The sequence below is a fragment of the Homo sapiens genome, chromosome 14 (assembly GCF_000001405.40).
Source record: "Homo sapiens chromosome 14, GRCh38.p14 Primary Assembly".
Taxonomy (NCBI): Eukaryota; Metazoa; Chordata; class Mammalia; order Primates; family Hominidae; genus Homo; species Homo sapiens.
The window spans coordinates 101,214,552-101,232,394 of NC_000014.9; the positions used below are offsets into that span (position 1 = coordinate 101,214,552).

Below are 17,843 nucleotides of genomic sequence, written 5' to 3' on the forward strand. Positions count from 1 at the left end.
GCTACTGGGTCCCTCCCACAACATGTGGGAATTATGGGAGCTATACTGCAAGATGAGATTTGGGTGGGGACACAGCCAAACCGTATTACCCCCACTGCTATGGACTGTGTCAGGCCATCCCCAAATTTATATGTTGAAATTCTAACCCCCAATATGAAAGTATGTGGAGATGGGCCGGGCACGGTGGCTCAAGCCTGTAATCCCAGCACTTTGGGAGGCCGAGGCAGGTGGATCACAAGGTCAGGAGATCGAGACCATCCTGGCTAACACGGTGAAACCCTGTCTATACCAAAAATACAAAAAATAAAAATAAAAAATTAGCTGGGCGCGGTGGCAGGCACCTATAGTCCCAGCTACTCAGGAGGCTGAGGCAGGAGAATGGCATGAACCCGGGAGGCAGAACTTGCAGTGAGCCGAGATTGTGCCACTGCACTCCAGACTGGGCAACAGAGCAAGACTCCATCTCCAAAAATAAAAATAAAAATAAAATAAAAAAAGAAAGTATGTGGAGATGGGGCCTTTGGGAGGTAATTAGGTCATTGAGGGTGGAGGCCTTATGATGGGATTAGTGCCCTTATAAGAAGAGCTATGACCTCTCTCTCTCTCTCTTTCTCTCTCTGTCTCTCTCTCTCTCTCTCTCTCTCTCCACCATGTGAGAACACAGCAAGAAGATGGTCGTCTGCAACCCAGTAATAGAGCCCTCACCAGGAACTGAATCACTGGCACCTTGATCTTGGGTTTTCAAGCTTCCAGAACTGTGAGAAATCAACTTCCACTGTTTAAGTTGCCCAGTCTCAGGTGTTCTGTTACAGCAGCTCAAGTTGACTCATACACCCACGTAATATGAAGTCTCCAGACACTCCACGGAGACATCTGGGCCTGGACACTGAAGAGTTCTTTGAATCACTCAGCAAAGCCACCGCAACGTGCCAAGCCACTGGGGGATACATGATGAAGACCCCTTTCCTGCCGCTAAGATAGGTGTGCATGAAGACACCTCTTTCCACTTTCTAAAGCTCTTGCATGTTGTATCACATGAGTATCAAGTGTCAAGACACCTGTAAGGCAGGATGTTGGGGGGTGAGGGGGTTATTCTGGAAGGACCTGGTCCTCCCTATCCCTCCCTGAGCAAAGCTGGAAAGCCAGCAATGACATCTGAGCTCCCCTGGGTATCACTCAGGTAGGACGTGAGCTCACTCACTGGTCTCAGAGTAACATCACTTGGATCAAAAAGACAACCCCAGTGAAGTCAAAACTTCACTAAAAACATCCCCAACAACTGTTTGTTTCAGCTTCTTGACACTTGAAAATGATGACATCCCTTCTTCAAAAAGAAAAAAGAAAGAAAAATATTTCTTAATTGACAACAGCAGAACTCTTAGTAGAAGGTTCCATGATCTCTCTGGGAGCTTAGCTTTGCAAGAGAAAAGCTAAATCTGTGAAATCTCGATCTGCAGCAATCACAGCTGGCTCCATCGCATGGGCTGGGAGGCCGCGCTCACCCTGAGACATTTGGAAGATGTCGTATTTACCTAACACGCAGTCCTTCTAATTGAAGGGCAGTGGGTCCCGGGGCTGCATGTGAGATGCAGACCAGATGTGGATCAGGCCAGGACATCAGCAGCATGGGATTAGTGAGAGGCAGTGGCGGGGACGCGGGATGATTCTGGGCTATGCAGCCTCTACCCCCAGGCATCTATGTGGGGGACAAGCATATGGGAGAGAGGCGGAATGGCAGAGGACCCGCTCTCTGCAGACTGTGGTTAACCCCTCAGTAGGCACGATGCTGCACACGGAGCACAACATGATTTTGCAGCTGAGGAAATGGAAGCTTAGTTAAGTCAATGTAAGGATAAGATGATGGACCTTTTTTGTTAATAAACAGGAAGGAGGCCGCTTCCTCTCCACCCTCTCCTCCTTAGGGTATCTCCTTGGAAAAAAATAATCAGTCCGATAAGAGGCCCAATCTTTTAGTTTTACTATGTAAGATATGAGGCCTCCTGACCCTTGGAACTGTAAACACAACCCCCTAAGAGGACCTCGGAAATCTTTCACAGATAGACAAGTGGGTCCTCTTATCTGTCTAGGAGATAGGAGAATGCTTCGTTCTTCTCTTTTCTGCATTTCTGTGCACGTCTGTTGAAATTCTGAAGTCCAGTCTCTGGAGACACTTTTGTGCTATCTTACATGCATGTGAATATCACAGTGCTTACTTAAGATTAAACTGCATTCTCTCTCTTCTATTTTGGTACAGAAGGGTCTTTTGACAGGAGGATTGTCTTATTTCCCCAACGGTCATTTGCCTGGGGCCACGCAACAGCACTGTGGACTCTGACCATGAACTCTTGCAACACCCCCATCTCACCACTGCAGTCAAGCCAGAGGGTCGTGGGAATCTCAAGGGAGAAGATTCCCTGGCATTGGAGGTCATAACCCCTTCTTTTCACAGAGAGTTTACAAAATGCTTTTACGTGTTACCTTGTTCTCAGAAGGACACAGAATGTCCTGAGGGTCCTGGAAACTCACCAATAAATACCTCCCAAACAAGCTGAGGATGGTGAGGACACCACTGTACACACCACCTTGTCTCTGTCACCGCATGGCTATGGTGAAGATTTCCTTCCATGCTCCCTAGCCACCGCCCTGTTTCTGGGAGACTAGTGGCTCTCACCCAGCACAATGCTCGTGAGCTCTCTTCCAGCTGTGGAGTGTCTCAATAGTTGCTTCCTTTCTACTGCGGAGCAGTGGCCTGTGTTTACCTTGCTATGTTCATAGGCAGTGCTTGCCATTGATCAGCTCTCACCAGGCCAAGGTCCACAGATTCGGCATCTCCTAGGTTGCTGCTGTTTTTTCTTCCTTGCTGAAAGATGGCATTGAGTCAGGCTTTACACATCGCAGGAACACAATTATTGTGCAGCTCATCCAGCTTCTTCCCTCTGGTTTCATGATGTGCAGATGGATACCATGGAGAAAAGCTAATGGAATGTGGGTCTGCTATTTTAGGTTGCTCAAATAAACAAGCGGGACACATCTTAAAACCATCAACCACGTTATTTTTAAAAGGACACACACACACACACGCACTACTGTACACACACACTACTGTAGCCTCTGGGTTTAGGGGGTTTGCTGTATCAATCTTGAAGAAATGTTTCTTTGTACTGATGGGTACTTCCCAAGTGCAATTATGGTTCCGCCTCTACTTTGCAAATCTCTCTGCACATCCAGTTCACAGAGATGGAATTAATGAGGGTGTGAAAGGGAGGAACGTCAAATACCAAGTGTGGACAGGCACCACCCAGATAGTTATCAGGGATATGAACTGTAGGCCTAAATGCACAGTCTTGATAAAGTCCACGCTGAATGAAACTGTTCCAACCTACACAAATGCAGAGCGATAAGATGACTGCACACAGGTGCCAGATGACTTCTGCTTCATGAGGGAGGTAGATGCCACAGGAAGATCCTCCAGGTAGAAGGGTCTTCTAGAAGCAGGTATGCCATTAGCTGTCTGTGCTGCTGTGGCAAGAGGTGGAGCGTCCATGCTGGGTAAAGTGCTTTGCGGATGACAGCTGTTTCAAGCAGTACATGGGAACTAGTTTTCATGAACCCCGTTGAGGTCGTCTCTTCACCATCAGATCATCATCTGCATACTGGCTTGTGGACATGCTCAGAAACGGTTCTGAACATACTCCAGACAAAGAAACGCAATGACCTGCATCATTAAACACTTCCATTCTTGGCATTCACCTTCCCGGTTGGTCTGGCCGTGCGTTTCATCCAGGACCTTCAATGCAGGGCCCTCAGCTGCTGAAGGCTGTCAGCACCCCGATCCATGTCCCTGGGTCCCTAAGGTGACTTCAGCACCAAGTGGCTCATAATTATATTTTAAAAAGCTATTTTGAATAATGGGAAAATATATATCCACATAATCACCATTCCCAGTGCTCTTATTTCTGCTGCATATATCCCTGCATCTATTTGTAATTCATTTCCTTCTGCTGGAAGGACTTCCTTTAATAGTTCTTGTAGTGCAGGCCTGCTGATCACAAATTCACAAATTCTTTTCAGCTTCTGCATGCTAAATAAGTCTATTTTACCTTTTTTTTTTTTTTTTTTTTTTTTTTTGACAGAGTCTCGCTGTGTCACCCAGGATGGAGTGTAGTGGCACGATCTCAGCTCAGTGCAACCTCCACCTCCCAGGTTCAAGCAATTCTCCTGCTTCAGCCTCCCGAGTAGCCTGGATTAAAGCCACCTGCCACCACACCCGGCTAATTTTTTGCATTTTTAGTAGAGACGGGGTTTCATCATGTTGGCCAGGCTGGTCTCAAACTCCAGACCTCAAGTGATCCACTCACCTCGGCCTCCCAAACTGCTGGGATTACAGGTGTGAGCCACTGTGCCCAGCCTTGCCTTCATTTTGGAAATATATCTTTGCTAGGTATAGAATGGAAAGCTGATCATTTGTTTTTTTCAATAAAGACTTTACCCATTGTCTTCCCACATGCATTGCTATTGACGAGACGTCTGCTCTCCTCGTTCCGTTTGTCCCTCTGTATGTAATGTGTGCTTTTTATTTTCTACAATTTTCCCTGATGTGCTTGGGTGTGCTTTTCCTCGCGTTTCATGGACTTGGGATTCATTAAACTTCTTGGATCTTGGTATGTATAGTTTTCATCAAATTTGTAAAATTTTCTGCTTTATTTTTTTCCAATGTATATTTTTTCTTTCTCCTCCTCCTCTGTTCCAGAAGCTCTAGTTTACATATTCCTTGGGTCTTTGGAAGTTATCCATAGCTTCCTTCTTCTCTGTTTATTTTTTTTTCAATTTTTGTTTTTTCCATATGTTTTATTTTGGATAGTTTATATTATTATGTCTTCAAGTTAACTAATCTTTTTTTCTTCTGTGGTATTTAATCTTCTGTTAATCCCATCCAGTATATTTTTCATCTAAGATAATTGTATTTTCAGCTCTTGAAGTTTGACTTACATCTCTTTTCATTACATGTCTCTACTTAACATGCTCAATCTTTCCTGAAGCTTCTTGAACGTGGAGAATTAGAATTATAATAATTGTTTTCTCATCCGGTTGACTAATTCCATCATCTCTAGTATTTCTGAATCAGTTTTGCTTGATTGGGTTTTCTCCTGATTATAGGGCATATTTTCCTGTTTCTTTGCATGCCTGGGTAATCTTTTCTTAAATCCCAGACATCATAAATGTTACCTTGTTAGGTGCTTGACGTTTATATTCCTATAAATACTGTTTTCAGACACAGTTAAGTTACTTAGAAACAGTTTGATCCTCTTGAGGCTTGGTTTTAAGTTCTGTTAGGTGGGACCAGAGCATCATTTAGTCTAGGGTGAATTTCACCCCACTACTGGGCTGACACCCTACTGAGTACTCTCCTGGGTGCCCAGAAGCTGTGAGATTGTCCAGTCTGGCTGGTGGGAACAGGCACTACTCCCAGCCCTTCGTGAGCATGGGCACTGTTGCTGCGAATGCTTCTGGGTGGGTCTTTCCTCCCATGCAGTTTGCCCACCCATGTGCTGATCAGCCCTCTACTGAATGCTAGGGGTCGGGGGAGATCCCTCTGCACATCTCAGAAACTCCCTTTCTGTGCCTCTCGTTCTTCTGTCCTGTGGACTCCAGCTGCCTCGGCCTCATCAGACTCCCAGTTCCATCTCAATTCAGAAAGACCCTGGCTCTGTCTCAGTCCTCCTCCCTGCACCATGGCCTGGAAACTGTCTCCAGACAGCAAGCTGGCGCAATCGCAGGGCTCACATTGTTTGTCTCAGGGATTACCGTCTTGAACTGTCTGATGTCTCATGTCTGAAAATTGTTGATTTCACATGTTTTGTCCAGATTTTTAGATGCTTCAGGAGGGAGGGGAATTCTAGTCCCTGTTATCCTTCCTAGTGAGAGGTAAAAGTTCATCAAATATTTGCTGACTGTCAAATATTTATTCCATACCAATGATTATCGAGAGCCAGGTGACTTCTATGCATTTGAGCTGCACTGGAGAGCAAGCTCTGACAGCTCGACCCTCGGGGTGGACACGAGGACAGTGAGGTGGTCTAAACCAGAAAATAAAAAATAAACAAAATAGAACAATGAATTATGTACAGAATGTTGGAAGTATTCACTGCTATGGAAAACAAGAAAGCAACAGAGCTGGTTAAGGGGTGCGTTAGGATCATGGTGACCAGAGGGTACGTTTGTAAATAGGGCAGTCCGGGTGGGTCTTACCAGGAAGGTGACATTTCTGCTTCCTCCCTCCTTCCCACCTGCCCCACCAAAACCCTAGTGCAATTATAAAGGCCACCAGGAAACCAACACAACTTCCTTACAGAGGCCTCATTCCACATCTTGGACTCCTGAAAGCCACCCCACCCCCTAATTTGATCCCCAAGGCCGGGCAGAGCACAGAGAGGAAAACGTGACCATGAGCAGGCTCCTCAGATGGCACGCGCCTCTGAGCCTGTCCAAGTGGTAATTAATTGGTATACGTGCTCCCAGAGCTGACAAATGTTTATTCTACAAAACCAAGAAGGAAGATCCAATGAGAAATCGCATTTTCCCTGGTGAGTGTCTGGGTCTCATCAGGCCTCTTGTGACCGAGGACAGCCGAACTGCACAGCTCACACTGGCCATCATCTGTGTGTTCCCAGAAGGTCGCGGTGTTTCCACAGTTGAGTCCATGGCGGGAGGTCCTAGCCCGTGTTCGGACGTCAGTGGTGCCAGCGGTGTGGCCACATGCCCCTCCCTAGAAGAGAGCCATGCCTTAAGTTACCCTTGAGTGGTGCTTCTGCCCAAATGCTGTGACCTCTTCTTTCCAGGAGTGATCGTGCCCTGCCAGTGATGCCTCTGTTGCTGGGCAGGCCCCACCACATGAAGTATGGGGGCTTTCCTTGCAGCCTCCCTGGTCACAGCTCACCTCCCATGACATGTGAAGTGTCATGGGAGGTGACTCTGCTCTTCTTCTGGGCTTCCTGGGGCATAGTCCCCAACTCACACTCCTAGCCCCCTGCCCCATTGCCATGGACAGACCCATTCCCTACACGGTGTGTCTCCCTCTTTGTTATGGAGTGCATGGTTGTGTCCCCCCAGATGCGATGTTGAAATCCTAACCCCCAAAGTGATGATATTAGGAAGTGGGGCCTTTGGGAGGTGACTAGGTCACGAGGGTGGAGCCCTCACGAATGAGATTAGTGCCCTCTAAAAGGGGCCCCAGAGAGCTCTCTCACCCTCTTTCTACCATGTGAGGACACAATGAGACGACAGCTGTCTGCAGCCCAGGAGAGGGCCTTCCCCAGAACCTGACCATGTTGGCAACCTGACTTCCAGCTTCCCGGACTTGTAGAAGTAAAGCTGGGCTATCTGTAGGCTGCCCAGGCTTTGGAAATTTGTCATGGCAGCAGCAACTCACTAAGGCGCTGCATGCTCTCAGCCGGTGACTCTGCCTTGGCCCCTCAGACCCTGCCCCATCCTCATGGATCTGTCCTGCCGCTGCCCCTGCCCCTGCTGGGGGCCTAGAACCCTTTGTCCCCAGCCTGTGCCCTCTCCTGGGCTGTGGCCCTGAGGTCTATAAAGGACACATGAGGGGGCGGTAGACAAGAATATGGTTGGTGGGGAGTAAGGAAGCTGTTCTTGATTTGGGTACTTTGACCCTAGCCCATAGATTTCTTTCAAATCCTTCAGCTTTTCAGTTGCACAAGAACAATTTACTAAAACTTTTGTAAAACGTAAAAAAAAAAATTTTTTGGCTTCCTCTTTTTCCCCAACCCATAAACCCTGAAGGAGGCAAAACAAAACAAAATAAAACAAACAAAAACAACACAACTAAACCAAAACAAAGAACAACACATCAGTGAAACTCAGGTAGTTAGGGACCTTAAAAAGCAGGCCTGGTGTCAGGAGAGGACACCGGTTCCCACAGCCGGCTGCACCTATACCCAAGGCCTGCATCCATCCAGTGTCCCCAGCTGCCTTGGTGGAGAGCTGCCCTCGGCCTCTGCTTCCCCAGAGCTCTGCCTGCCTGGGCATCCTCTGAGGGCGTGCGGGAACCGGAATCACTTCCAGATCTACGCTTTTCAAGGAGTTGAGGTTGAACTTTTCTGAACAGTTCATCTAGCCAACATTAGGAACAAAACGGTATATGTGGTGCTTGCAGGGAATTGTATATAATCTGCTTAAGGGAACTCACTGAGACCCTGGAAATTTCCTCCTCCCATCCCTGAATATGTGCCTCCAGTCAGCAATTCTTGGCTGCACACGAGGCTGTCTGAGCCACAAGGTCTGGGCCAGCTTTCATTCTGGGATGTATGGATGGAACCCAGGATAGGGAATAGTATGGGATTTTAAAACAGCAGGCTGTGTGCCCCTCCTGGGGACAGTCCTCCTGCACATGGCAGCCTTCTCTGAGTCACGGCCCCCCTCCAACTCTCCTCCCTGACAACACACACCTCAGTTTCCTTATTTGTAGAATTGTTCACGGAGCAATTGTGAGGGGTGAAAATGCAGTTTGTAAGAAGGTTTCCTTGCTCCACGAGGGGAATATGATTTATTAACATGTGAATGGCCCCATCCCCTGTGGAATAAAGAGAATTTTGACCTCCCTGGCTCGGCTTCACCCTTTCTGTTCCCCCAGCCCCAAGGAGAGCCCTCTATTTGCCAGCTGGGTTTCAAGGGTTTTTATGATGCAGATTTGGGAGACAGAGCACAAAGAGAGAGGTCTCTAGAGGGCAAGAGAGGGAGGAGGGCTCCTCCTGGCTGGGTGAGTTCCAGGGCTCCCCTTTGTTGCACAGAAATATGGAGAATGGGTAAAGCAGAAAGGAAACAAAAAAAGAAGCCAGGAGGCCAAGTCTAGCTGCATCAGAAAGAGCCGGGGGAGAGGGCGCTGTCAGAGAGAGAAAGAGCCCTGCGACGGGGCCAGGACAAGTTTTTGTAAGTGTTGGGATGAGAGAAAGACGACAGGGGCATCAGAGAGGGGAGAACTGGGGAGAGAAGACAGTGAGGGCTTCACAGAGACCTTGCTGGAACTATGAAAGGCATCTCCTAAAACGTTTTTCTCCAAAGCTGGCAACAAGGATTGGGACTCCTTCTCAACTCTCTGGTTGCTGGACTGCTGTTTCTTTGCATGTGACTCAGCGCTGTGCCTGGACATGTGGGCCTTGGGGTTTATCTGGGTTACAGACCCATTATTCCACTTGTTCCCTGGTCTCCTCATCAAACCCTGAGCCCCTGTTGTTTCTCTAGCATGGTGGCTGCTCATGCTCCAGGAATGGTGGCTGCAGAGACCTGGCAGACACATGCCTGGTGGTGGGGCCAGACCAGCCCAGGGAACAATTCCATTCGGTGCGTGGTGAGCGTCCTGTCAGGGCAAACACGGGGGTTGTTCTCAGAAGAGGGGACTTGCCAGCAGGTCCTGAAGGACAATGATATATTGTCAGTCAACCGAAGAACAGAGGCAGGAAGGAGATGCACTGGCATTCCTGGCCTGAGGGAACCGCATGTGCAAAGGCCCAGGGGCAAGAACATGGGTGGCGAGTTTGTAAAAACCCCAGCATGACTGAAGCTCTGAGTTCAAAGTCCCGTGCAGTGACAGCAGCGAGCCTGGGTTTTATTTTGTTTTGTTTTGTTTTGTTTTGAGACAAAATTTTGCTCTTGTCACCCAGGCTGGAGTGCAGTGGTGCCATCTCGGCTCACTGCAACCTCCGTCTCCCAGGTTCAAGTGATTCTCCTGCCTCAGCCTCCTGAGTAGCTGGGATTACAGGTCTGAGCCACCACGCCTGGCTAGTCTTTTGTATTTTCAGCAGAGGTGGGGGTTTCACCATGTTGGCCAGGCTGGTCTCAAACTCCTGACCTCGGGTGATGGGTGAGGAGCCCACTCTGCTCAGATGTGAGGCTTCATTCCTGCAGGTGCCCATGTCGAGCCCAGACACAGGTGTGCGTGTGTGTGCGGATGTGCATGCATGTGTTCCAGCTCCGGGAGCTCGGGGTCAGGGAAGGGACACTGAGGCAGGCTCCCTCGCATGTACATTGACTCCTTCCCCACCTCTTTCCCCCCACTCCATGTTCCTGGAGAAGCAGAGATGACAGGAGCAGACCCATGAAGAGCAGGCCGCCCACGGCTGAGTGAGGACCGAAGCTGCAGAAACAGCTGGAGGGAAATCAATTTGTTCTTTGCTACAGTCAGACATAAACCAATTAGAGCAGACCCAACGGGGGCCCTCGGTGTTCGGAGAAGTGAACATGAGTCTGGCCAATCCAGGCCTGTTAATCCCTGCTTGTACCTTCCAGCTGCCTGCAAGATAAAGGCCAGCTTTGCGGGAAGGTGGCCAAAGCCTCCTCCAGCTGCTCGCTGTCGCCCCTCTAGTGTCAGAGTTCACCACGGACCCTCCTCACCCGAATCCAGACGCAGGAGTGATTTTAGGGGGCCTTGGGGCCCATCCTCATGTGAGTCCTCTCCTTGTGAGCCCTCCCATCGCCCTGAGGGCCCGGAACTGGCCACCCTCCCAGCACACCTGTCCCCAGGTCTCTCCTGCACCCCTGCGGGGGTAGAAGCCATGCTGTCTTCCTTTAGCCAGGGGGCTCCAGTGAAGGGCACGCAGCCCCCTGTGTAGGCCAACGCCTCTGGGCTTCATTTTCACATCACACCAGCCCCAGAGGAACGCCAGGGGTCAAAAAGACAGCGCTCAGGAGAGACGCCTACAGCAGGACGCTGGGCAGAGGCTCAGGAGCTGGGGCTGTCCTGGTGAGAGGCTTGCTGGGCACAGGCTGCCTGGGGCCACGTCGAACCCATCAGGGACAGAGACAGGAGTACCCCAGGACCCTAGCCTGGCACCCAGTGGGTGTCCCCTCTCTTAAGGTGGTACTGGGGACTGATAGTGAAACTGCTACCCCCTCTGACCACAAAGTTCCCTCTTGCCCCTTTGGGCCCCACCCACACCAGCTGTATCTTGGCCAGGGAGTCTGCAGAATCCGCTCACCCCTGCTGACTCCTGGCGGCTGCCCAGGGTGTGAGCCTTCCCCACAAGGGCCCCCCGGGGGCCGTGGGACCCTGTTTTCCAGGAAACAGCATCTCAGCATCTCCAGGCTGAGACGGGCCCCAGGTCGTGACTGAGAGCTGAATTCCTGGAACTGGTCTTCCAAGGAGTGGGGGTGGGGGATGTCAGTTAGGGGTGGGCGGCTGCGGAGGGGCCTCTTTGCCTCCTCTGGATGCCTGGCCTGGTAGGCCTTGGCAAGCGACCTCAGAGCTCTCCTGTGTCTGTATGTGGACGCCTCCGCCTCTGACCCCCTTCCTGCACCTTCAGCACAACACACGCCTGCCCCTGGTTTCTGGGGTGCCAAGTGGGTGCTCCTGATCCAGGGCTGCACAGCTGCTGCCCCCGCACTTCCTGAGCGACCCCCACTGGCCCTCCTGGGGCTGACGCCCAGGCTGGGCCTCACTTTCTCAGTTGAGCGGGAAGACGTCACATCAGCCAGTAACAGGACTCTGCATGTAAGGGTTCAAGGTGCCGTGGCGTTGCCAAGGGGAACGTGAGCTTCTGGCAGAGGTGGCTGCTTAGTGGAGGGTACAGGGCTGGCCTTGAAGGGAGGGGGAGGAAAGGGCACAGCAGCAGCAGGGGTGAGGGAGAGAGTGTGGCACTGCCTGGCCTGGGGTGGCCAAGACCTGAGGTCGGCAAGGTCGTGGAAGGAGAGTCCTGCACGCCAAGTTAAGGGGGCATGGATTTTCACGTAAAGGTCACGGGATCCACTGAGAAGGTTGGGTGGGGGTGACACATCAGCTTTCAGCCTGGAAAACCTAGGGAGGAGAGACACAGGGGGGTGCAGAGAGGCCAGGGGGAAGCTGCCTAGGGGGTCCAGGGACAAACAGCTGGGCCTAGCCTGACCCAGAAGCCTGATGCAGCCAGAAGCATGGCCACCCGCTAGGCCTGTCCATAGTCCTGGGAGGGGGCAGCTGGACCACGAGCACCCCTTGCTCCCCATTTTGTGCTGAGTGAGCTCTGCCTCTTTATGCCAAGGACAAGGTGCCCCTCCTCCAGTCTGCCACACACCGTGGTGGGCAGAGGGGTCCCAGGCTGGATTCCAGCCCAAACCACTCTCCCGTTCCAGGGACCAGCTGCAGGCCACAAAGTACACAGTGCGTGTTGTGGCCTTGGCCTGGCACAGACTCAGAGCCCGCCCACAGGCCAGAGTCCCAGGGAAGTCAGTTTCATCTCCGCATAGGGCATAACTTTCTAGTAATCTCTGTTGACCAAGAAGAGACAGGGGCAGAGTCAGGGTTGGGACAAAGCTCGGGGGGGCCTGTCACAGACAGACTCACAGACAGGCACACCCAGGGACAGGCAGACCCACAGACAGGCACACTTAGGGACAGGCCAACCCACAGACAGGGGCACCCAGGGACAGTCAGACCAACGAACAGGTGCACACAGGGGCGGGCCGACCCACAGGCAGGCGCACCCAGGGGCAGGCCGACCCACAGAGAGGTGCACCCAGGGAGAGGCAGGCCCACAGACAGGCGCACCTAGAGACAAGCAGACCCACAGATAGGCGCACCCAGGGACAGGCGGGCCCACATACAGGCGCACCCAGAGACAGGCGGACCCCAGACAGGTGCACCCAGGGACAGGCAGACCCACAGACAGACGCACCCAGGGGTGGGAGGCACATAGGGAGGGACAACCACAAGGCGGGGGCCAACCCTCCTGGGGAGATGCGTGCACCCGCAGACCTGTGCCGAAAGACAGAAGGATGTGCACCTCAAGTCAGACAGCATGTGCCCACACACGCTTGCACACGCATACACTCAGAGGATGCCCAGTCACACGGCCCCGTGCGGCTCCCAAGCCCCGGACAATCTGGGCAGGTTTGTATCGGGGAGAGATGTCGAAGGTGGAGGAGGACAGGGTAAGGTTTCTTGCCCTCCAGTCCACAAACCATCAGCCCTGGAGAGCGTTCTGCGTGCCTGCAAAAGGGCAGCAGGAAGAAATAATAGATGAGAACAACAAAGAGCCGTGAAGGCATCGAAACACCAGCTTCGAGGGAGCCGCTTGAGAGAGCAGCCCTCGGGAAGGCTCCCCCACCATGTCGCCTGTTGCTGGGGATGAAACCAACTTGGGGTCAGATGGAGGGGGCTCCATGGGAGGGAGAGCCCAGGGAGAAGCAGGTCGGGGCAGGAGTCTCGGCCTGATACCCATTGGCCCTCCCTGGACACCGCAGGCCGGGGACGCTGTGCAGACCACCCTGTAGGGGCGTCAGACACAGAGCAGCTTACGCGGAGGCCTCTCTCAGAATGGCCGCAGCAGGTCACACAGTTAGTGTCTCAAAGCCCTGCAGAGCTCTGAATGCAGGTTTGGGGACTGGAGATGACCTTCGAGGCTGGCCCCTGAGTGAGGGGAACAGCAGTGCTGGATTCAGGAAAATCTCCCCGGGAACCCAAGTGGGGAGCACAGACTCAAGAGGGAGCGACCAGAGCCCCGGCCGTCCATCCATGGTGGTGTGAGGGGAAAGGGAGGGGAACCAGATGGGGCCACATGGGCCATCTTGTGGGATAATATTTCAAAGACAAATCTCCATTGCTGACCGCAGCGTTTCTCAAAATTCAAGCACTGGAGGACCCCGGAGAACGGAGCTGCAGAACCGCCGGGTCTGTGCGAACCGCGGGGTCTGTGCGAACCGCGGGGTCTGTGAGAACCGCGGGGTCTGTGCCGCCTGGTGGGGAGCGCTGAGCGCTGATTGGTGTTTGGGAGGATGTCTCTCAGCTAGGATTCAGCCTTGCAGAAGGGAAGTGTGATGTCTGGGCAAAGGATTCAGCACAGGCGCTATCCCAAATATGCATTGCCTGTGGCCCAGTCTCCGCCCGAGGCGTCCTCAGAGAAACACAGTCAATCCGAGGAACAAGGTGACAAAGTAACTCCCGTCTGCCGGTGTCCCTGGAGGAGCCCCCAGGGCTCTGGCTCCCAGCCCACCAATTCCTTCAAACAACTTCCTTTTCTTGCCAGGAATTTCACATTTCTCAACGCCTCTGGGGCCTCACAGCCCCCACCCCATCTCACTGGTTGCCCCCCAGCCCTCTGGGAGGCCAAGTCCTCGTGGCCTTAGATCTGGGTCTCTCTCCATCCTGACTTCCCTCCAGGAGAGGGGTCTCGGGGTCCAGGCCTCACCCACCGACGGTCCAGGCCACTCATTTCCTGGGCCTTCCTTGCTCTCTGCAGAAAGACACAGAGGGCCCAGCAACTGCGTTTCACTGTTTCTCTCTCTAAAAAATGAAAAATAAAAATAAAAAACTTAAAATTCATGGGGAACTTCAGGTAAATAAAATAACCAGCGTCATTCTGGTGAATGTGTGTGGCGTCTGCCAGCGTGCTCACGTCAAGACGATGCCTCTATGGTGCAGACTCACGTCTGTGGAGCCCCAGGCTTCAGGGCCAGAGCCTGGGAAGCCTCCTAGGCTGACTCCCAAGGCCCCCTGTGCCCTGCAGCTCTGCCTTCTGCCCACTGGGAGTTCCCCAGGACTGCCCAGCAGCTCACATTGGCCTCTGTGTGCAGTCTTCTCTGTCTAGAATGCTCCCTGCTCCCCAAAGCCCACTTGCCTGGCAAGCGCTTTCCACTGTCCGGCAGCCCTCCCTGGCCCTCCCCTGCCCTTGCCCAGAGACCTTGGCCCTGGTCTCCCTCTGGGCAGCTCCTCCCTTCCTTGCGTGCTCCTGGGTAGCTATCCCCTCGCTCCTCCCCTAGGTGTAACATCTTCACGGCTGTCCGTCTCTAAACACGAGCCTCCAGACTACGGATACGTCTGGGTTCTCATCCCAGCTAAGCTATTATTACCTTCCTGTACAACAGGAAAGGTTCCCTTGTCCCTCTCGCAGGGCGTGCGATGGGGATGTGACTCGCTCCATCAGTGCCCTGCTGCCCAAACCTCTAGGGGAGCACACAGAGGGCAGGTCATGGGGGTCCGACCCCATGGCCGCGTCTAGGGGTGAATGTTTACAGCTGAAACCCCAGTGGGTGTGTGTTACAGGTACTCTCTTAGTTTGCCTTTGTTAACCAGCTCAATTAGACCCTCCACCTTGAGGCAAGGACAGAGGGCTTTGTGCATCCAGGGTTCTTGCCTTGGTGTACTGGAAGAATTGAATCACACCTGGGCTTGGAGAATAAGTGTAACGTTTTATTGAGTTTTATTAAGGTTTTATTGAGTTTTATTTATAGCTCTCAGCCCATGGGGGAGCCAGAAGGGAGACGGTTTTCCCCTGGAGTTGGGCTGCTGGCGGCCCCGGCTCTCCCCTGACTGCCCCAGCCAAACTCCGACTCGTCCCTCTGGTTCAAGGGCCTGCGGGTGTGCCGGGGCTTGTCGCTGTGCTCTCCCGCCGACGTGCCCCCTCCGCAGCCTCGCCCCCTCCGCAGCCTCGCCCCCCCCCCGCAGCCTCGCCCCCCCCGCAGCCTCGCCCCCCCCGCAGCCTCGCCCCCTCCGCAGCCTCGCCCCCCACCCCGCAGCCTCGCCCCCCCCGCAGCCTCGCCCCCCCCCGCAGCCTCGCCCCCCCCCGCAGCCTCGCCCCCTCCGCAGCCTCGCCCCCTCCGCAGCCTCGCCCCCTCCGCAGCCTCGCCCCCTCCGCAGCCTCTCCATGACCAGACCAGCCGCTTGGTGTCTCCTTCCGCGGCCGATGTGCTCTTCTCCTCCTCTGGCCCGCTAGTGTCTTGAGGGTTTGTATAGGCCCAGGATGGAGGCGAGGCAGTCCAGGGTGGTCTTGGTAAATGCAGCATATGGGCAGGAAATGCCTGTCCTCATCTAGGTCCGTGGGGGTGGAGCCCCGGCCAGGGATCCGCCTTTCTCTACCCAGCACTTCCCTTCCCTGCTTCCGTATCGTTTAAAGGGACCACGCTCTTCCCTTCCCAGCACTCCTGTATCATTTGTGCCTGCTTCCAAGTCTGTGAAATGGGGATAGAGGTGTGATTGTGGATAAGATGGGGTCACCCCAAGGAAGGGCTCAGCGAGGACAAGGGCACAGGGAGGGTGTGAGGACCTCATCCCATGCAGGGACTTGCAGGTGTGTGAGCCTTGGCCCTTTCTGAGGCTGAGCTGACCATCAGTGCCCTGTCTAGGGCACCATGCCTAGGCCTGGGCTGTGGTGGTGCCCACCCTAACCTGTGCAGGTGCCTCACCCTGCTGTCTCGAACAAGCTGGAAAGCTCCAGAACCACAGCCTGAGCATTGCACCCTAGGTGACCACTAGGTCCAAGGACCAGGCCAAGGGAGAGGACAGAGCTGCTGCAGGGCCACAGAGACCTGGTGTGAGGCTGGGTCATGGATGAGATTTGGGCCCTCATCTATGAAGTGGGCCTCTGGAGCCACTGTGCTCAGTGTGGGAGGATTGAACAGGACCATGTATATAAACCTCCTATCAGGACTGGGCACATAGCAGGTGCTCAGGAAAGGCACGAGTACCTGCCTCACCCTGCAGGTGGGCACAGTGCCCAGCCAGGTTTACAAGGTTGTCTGCCTGTAGCTCACTCTCACCTTGCAGCCTCTGCCATTTGGATGCGTGCCCTCAGCTTTCACGGGGGGCAGTTACAAGAAGCAGTTTTATGAGACTCATCACCGCATTTGCTGTCCAGATGCTGTTGGGGACATTATCCATTTTTCATTTCAGGGCCACCTAGATGGAGCCTCATGAGAAAAGCATCTTTCAGAGCCAAAGCTAGAAAAAGCTTTGCACCTTCCAGAGCACTGAATGACTGCTGTCTTTGACAGAGCCTTTTCCTAACACTGGTGTGCAAAGACACTGCTCTGCTCAGCTCATGGGACGGTCTCCAGGATGATGACAGTGGCCCCATACATTTTCCCCTGGGGTCTCACATATTCTCTGTGTGCCCTGATGGATAGAGAGTTGGGAAATCTTATTCTAAGGGATTGTGAAGACAACTGAACTAATCTTATTTCCCTTTTCATTTTGGCTTCCAGGAATCTCAGAGACAAATTCAAAACTTCAGACAAATCCACTCTACAGGACCTATTGGCCTGTATATTTGTGTTTTACTTTTCTCTTTGCTGTTCAGTTCTTCTCATGTATATTTACTCTTACCTGGGACCTTTTGTGTGTTTGTGTTTCACTTAGTTTTGCTATATCGTGCCTGTAGGCTGAGGTGTTCCTTCATGAAGTGAGACAGAGTTTGAGTAAATGTTTACATGTGTCAAGCATGAAACAGACCCCAAACCCCACACAGCCCACAAGTCCCAGGAGCCAACCCTATGCCTTCCCCTCCTCCTGTATTCCTCCTCCATGAGCCTCTGCATGTTCAGAACCTACCTTGGATGCCATGGCCTTTAGACAGCAAATCCTCCTAGCAAGAGCACACAGACCTACTCTCAGGGTCACACTTCTGATTCAGGATTTCAGAGTTCCAGGAGACACCTGGCCCTGGTCCTTCCTTCTAGGGAATGTCGAGGCCAAGAGGGTGGGTGGCAGGTCCCAGGTCACAGAGTGTGGTGGTGGCCTGGCCTTGAAGCTGGCTTTCCTCACTTTCACCCACACGGGTCACGCACCAGCTAATCCACCCCCAGCTTCCAAACAAGGCGATTGTCTCTGGGGTGGAAGATTCCATATAAACATGAGATTAATTTTGTATTATTATTGACTGAGTGTCAGTTGCCTTGGCTGGAGGTTTTGGGGTCAGGATGAAAACTGGATGCTTTTGCCCACCAAACCTTTCAACAATGTGGGAAACACCACCCCACAACCAGACCACCAGACCTCCCTGCGGAGCTGGCAAACACCGCCGCCAGGGCCAAGGGAAATGGCAAAGTCAGAGAGGCATGACTTGGTTTGTGAGGAGGAGAGGAAA

At 52.8% G+C, this 17,843-nt stretch overlaps 1 pseudogene, besides 1 other annotated feature; it reads right to left on the reverse strand.

Annotated features, from left to right (window-relative positions):
* On the reverse strand, window positions 2,836-3,680 carry LOC100128373 (AKT interacting protein pseudogene; annotated as a pseudogene).
* Window positions 6,994-7,770: an enhancer, noted in NCBI's record as "H3K4me1 hESC enhancer chr14:101687882-101688658 (GRCh37/hg19 assembly coordinates)". NCBI's record gives its function as "activates a minimal SCP1, AML or CMV promoter by ChIP-STARR-seq in primed H9 embryonic stem cells {active_cell/tissue: H9 hESC(primed)}" and the evidence as "EXISTENCE:reporter gene assay evidence [ECO:0000049][PMID:30033119]".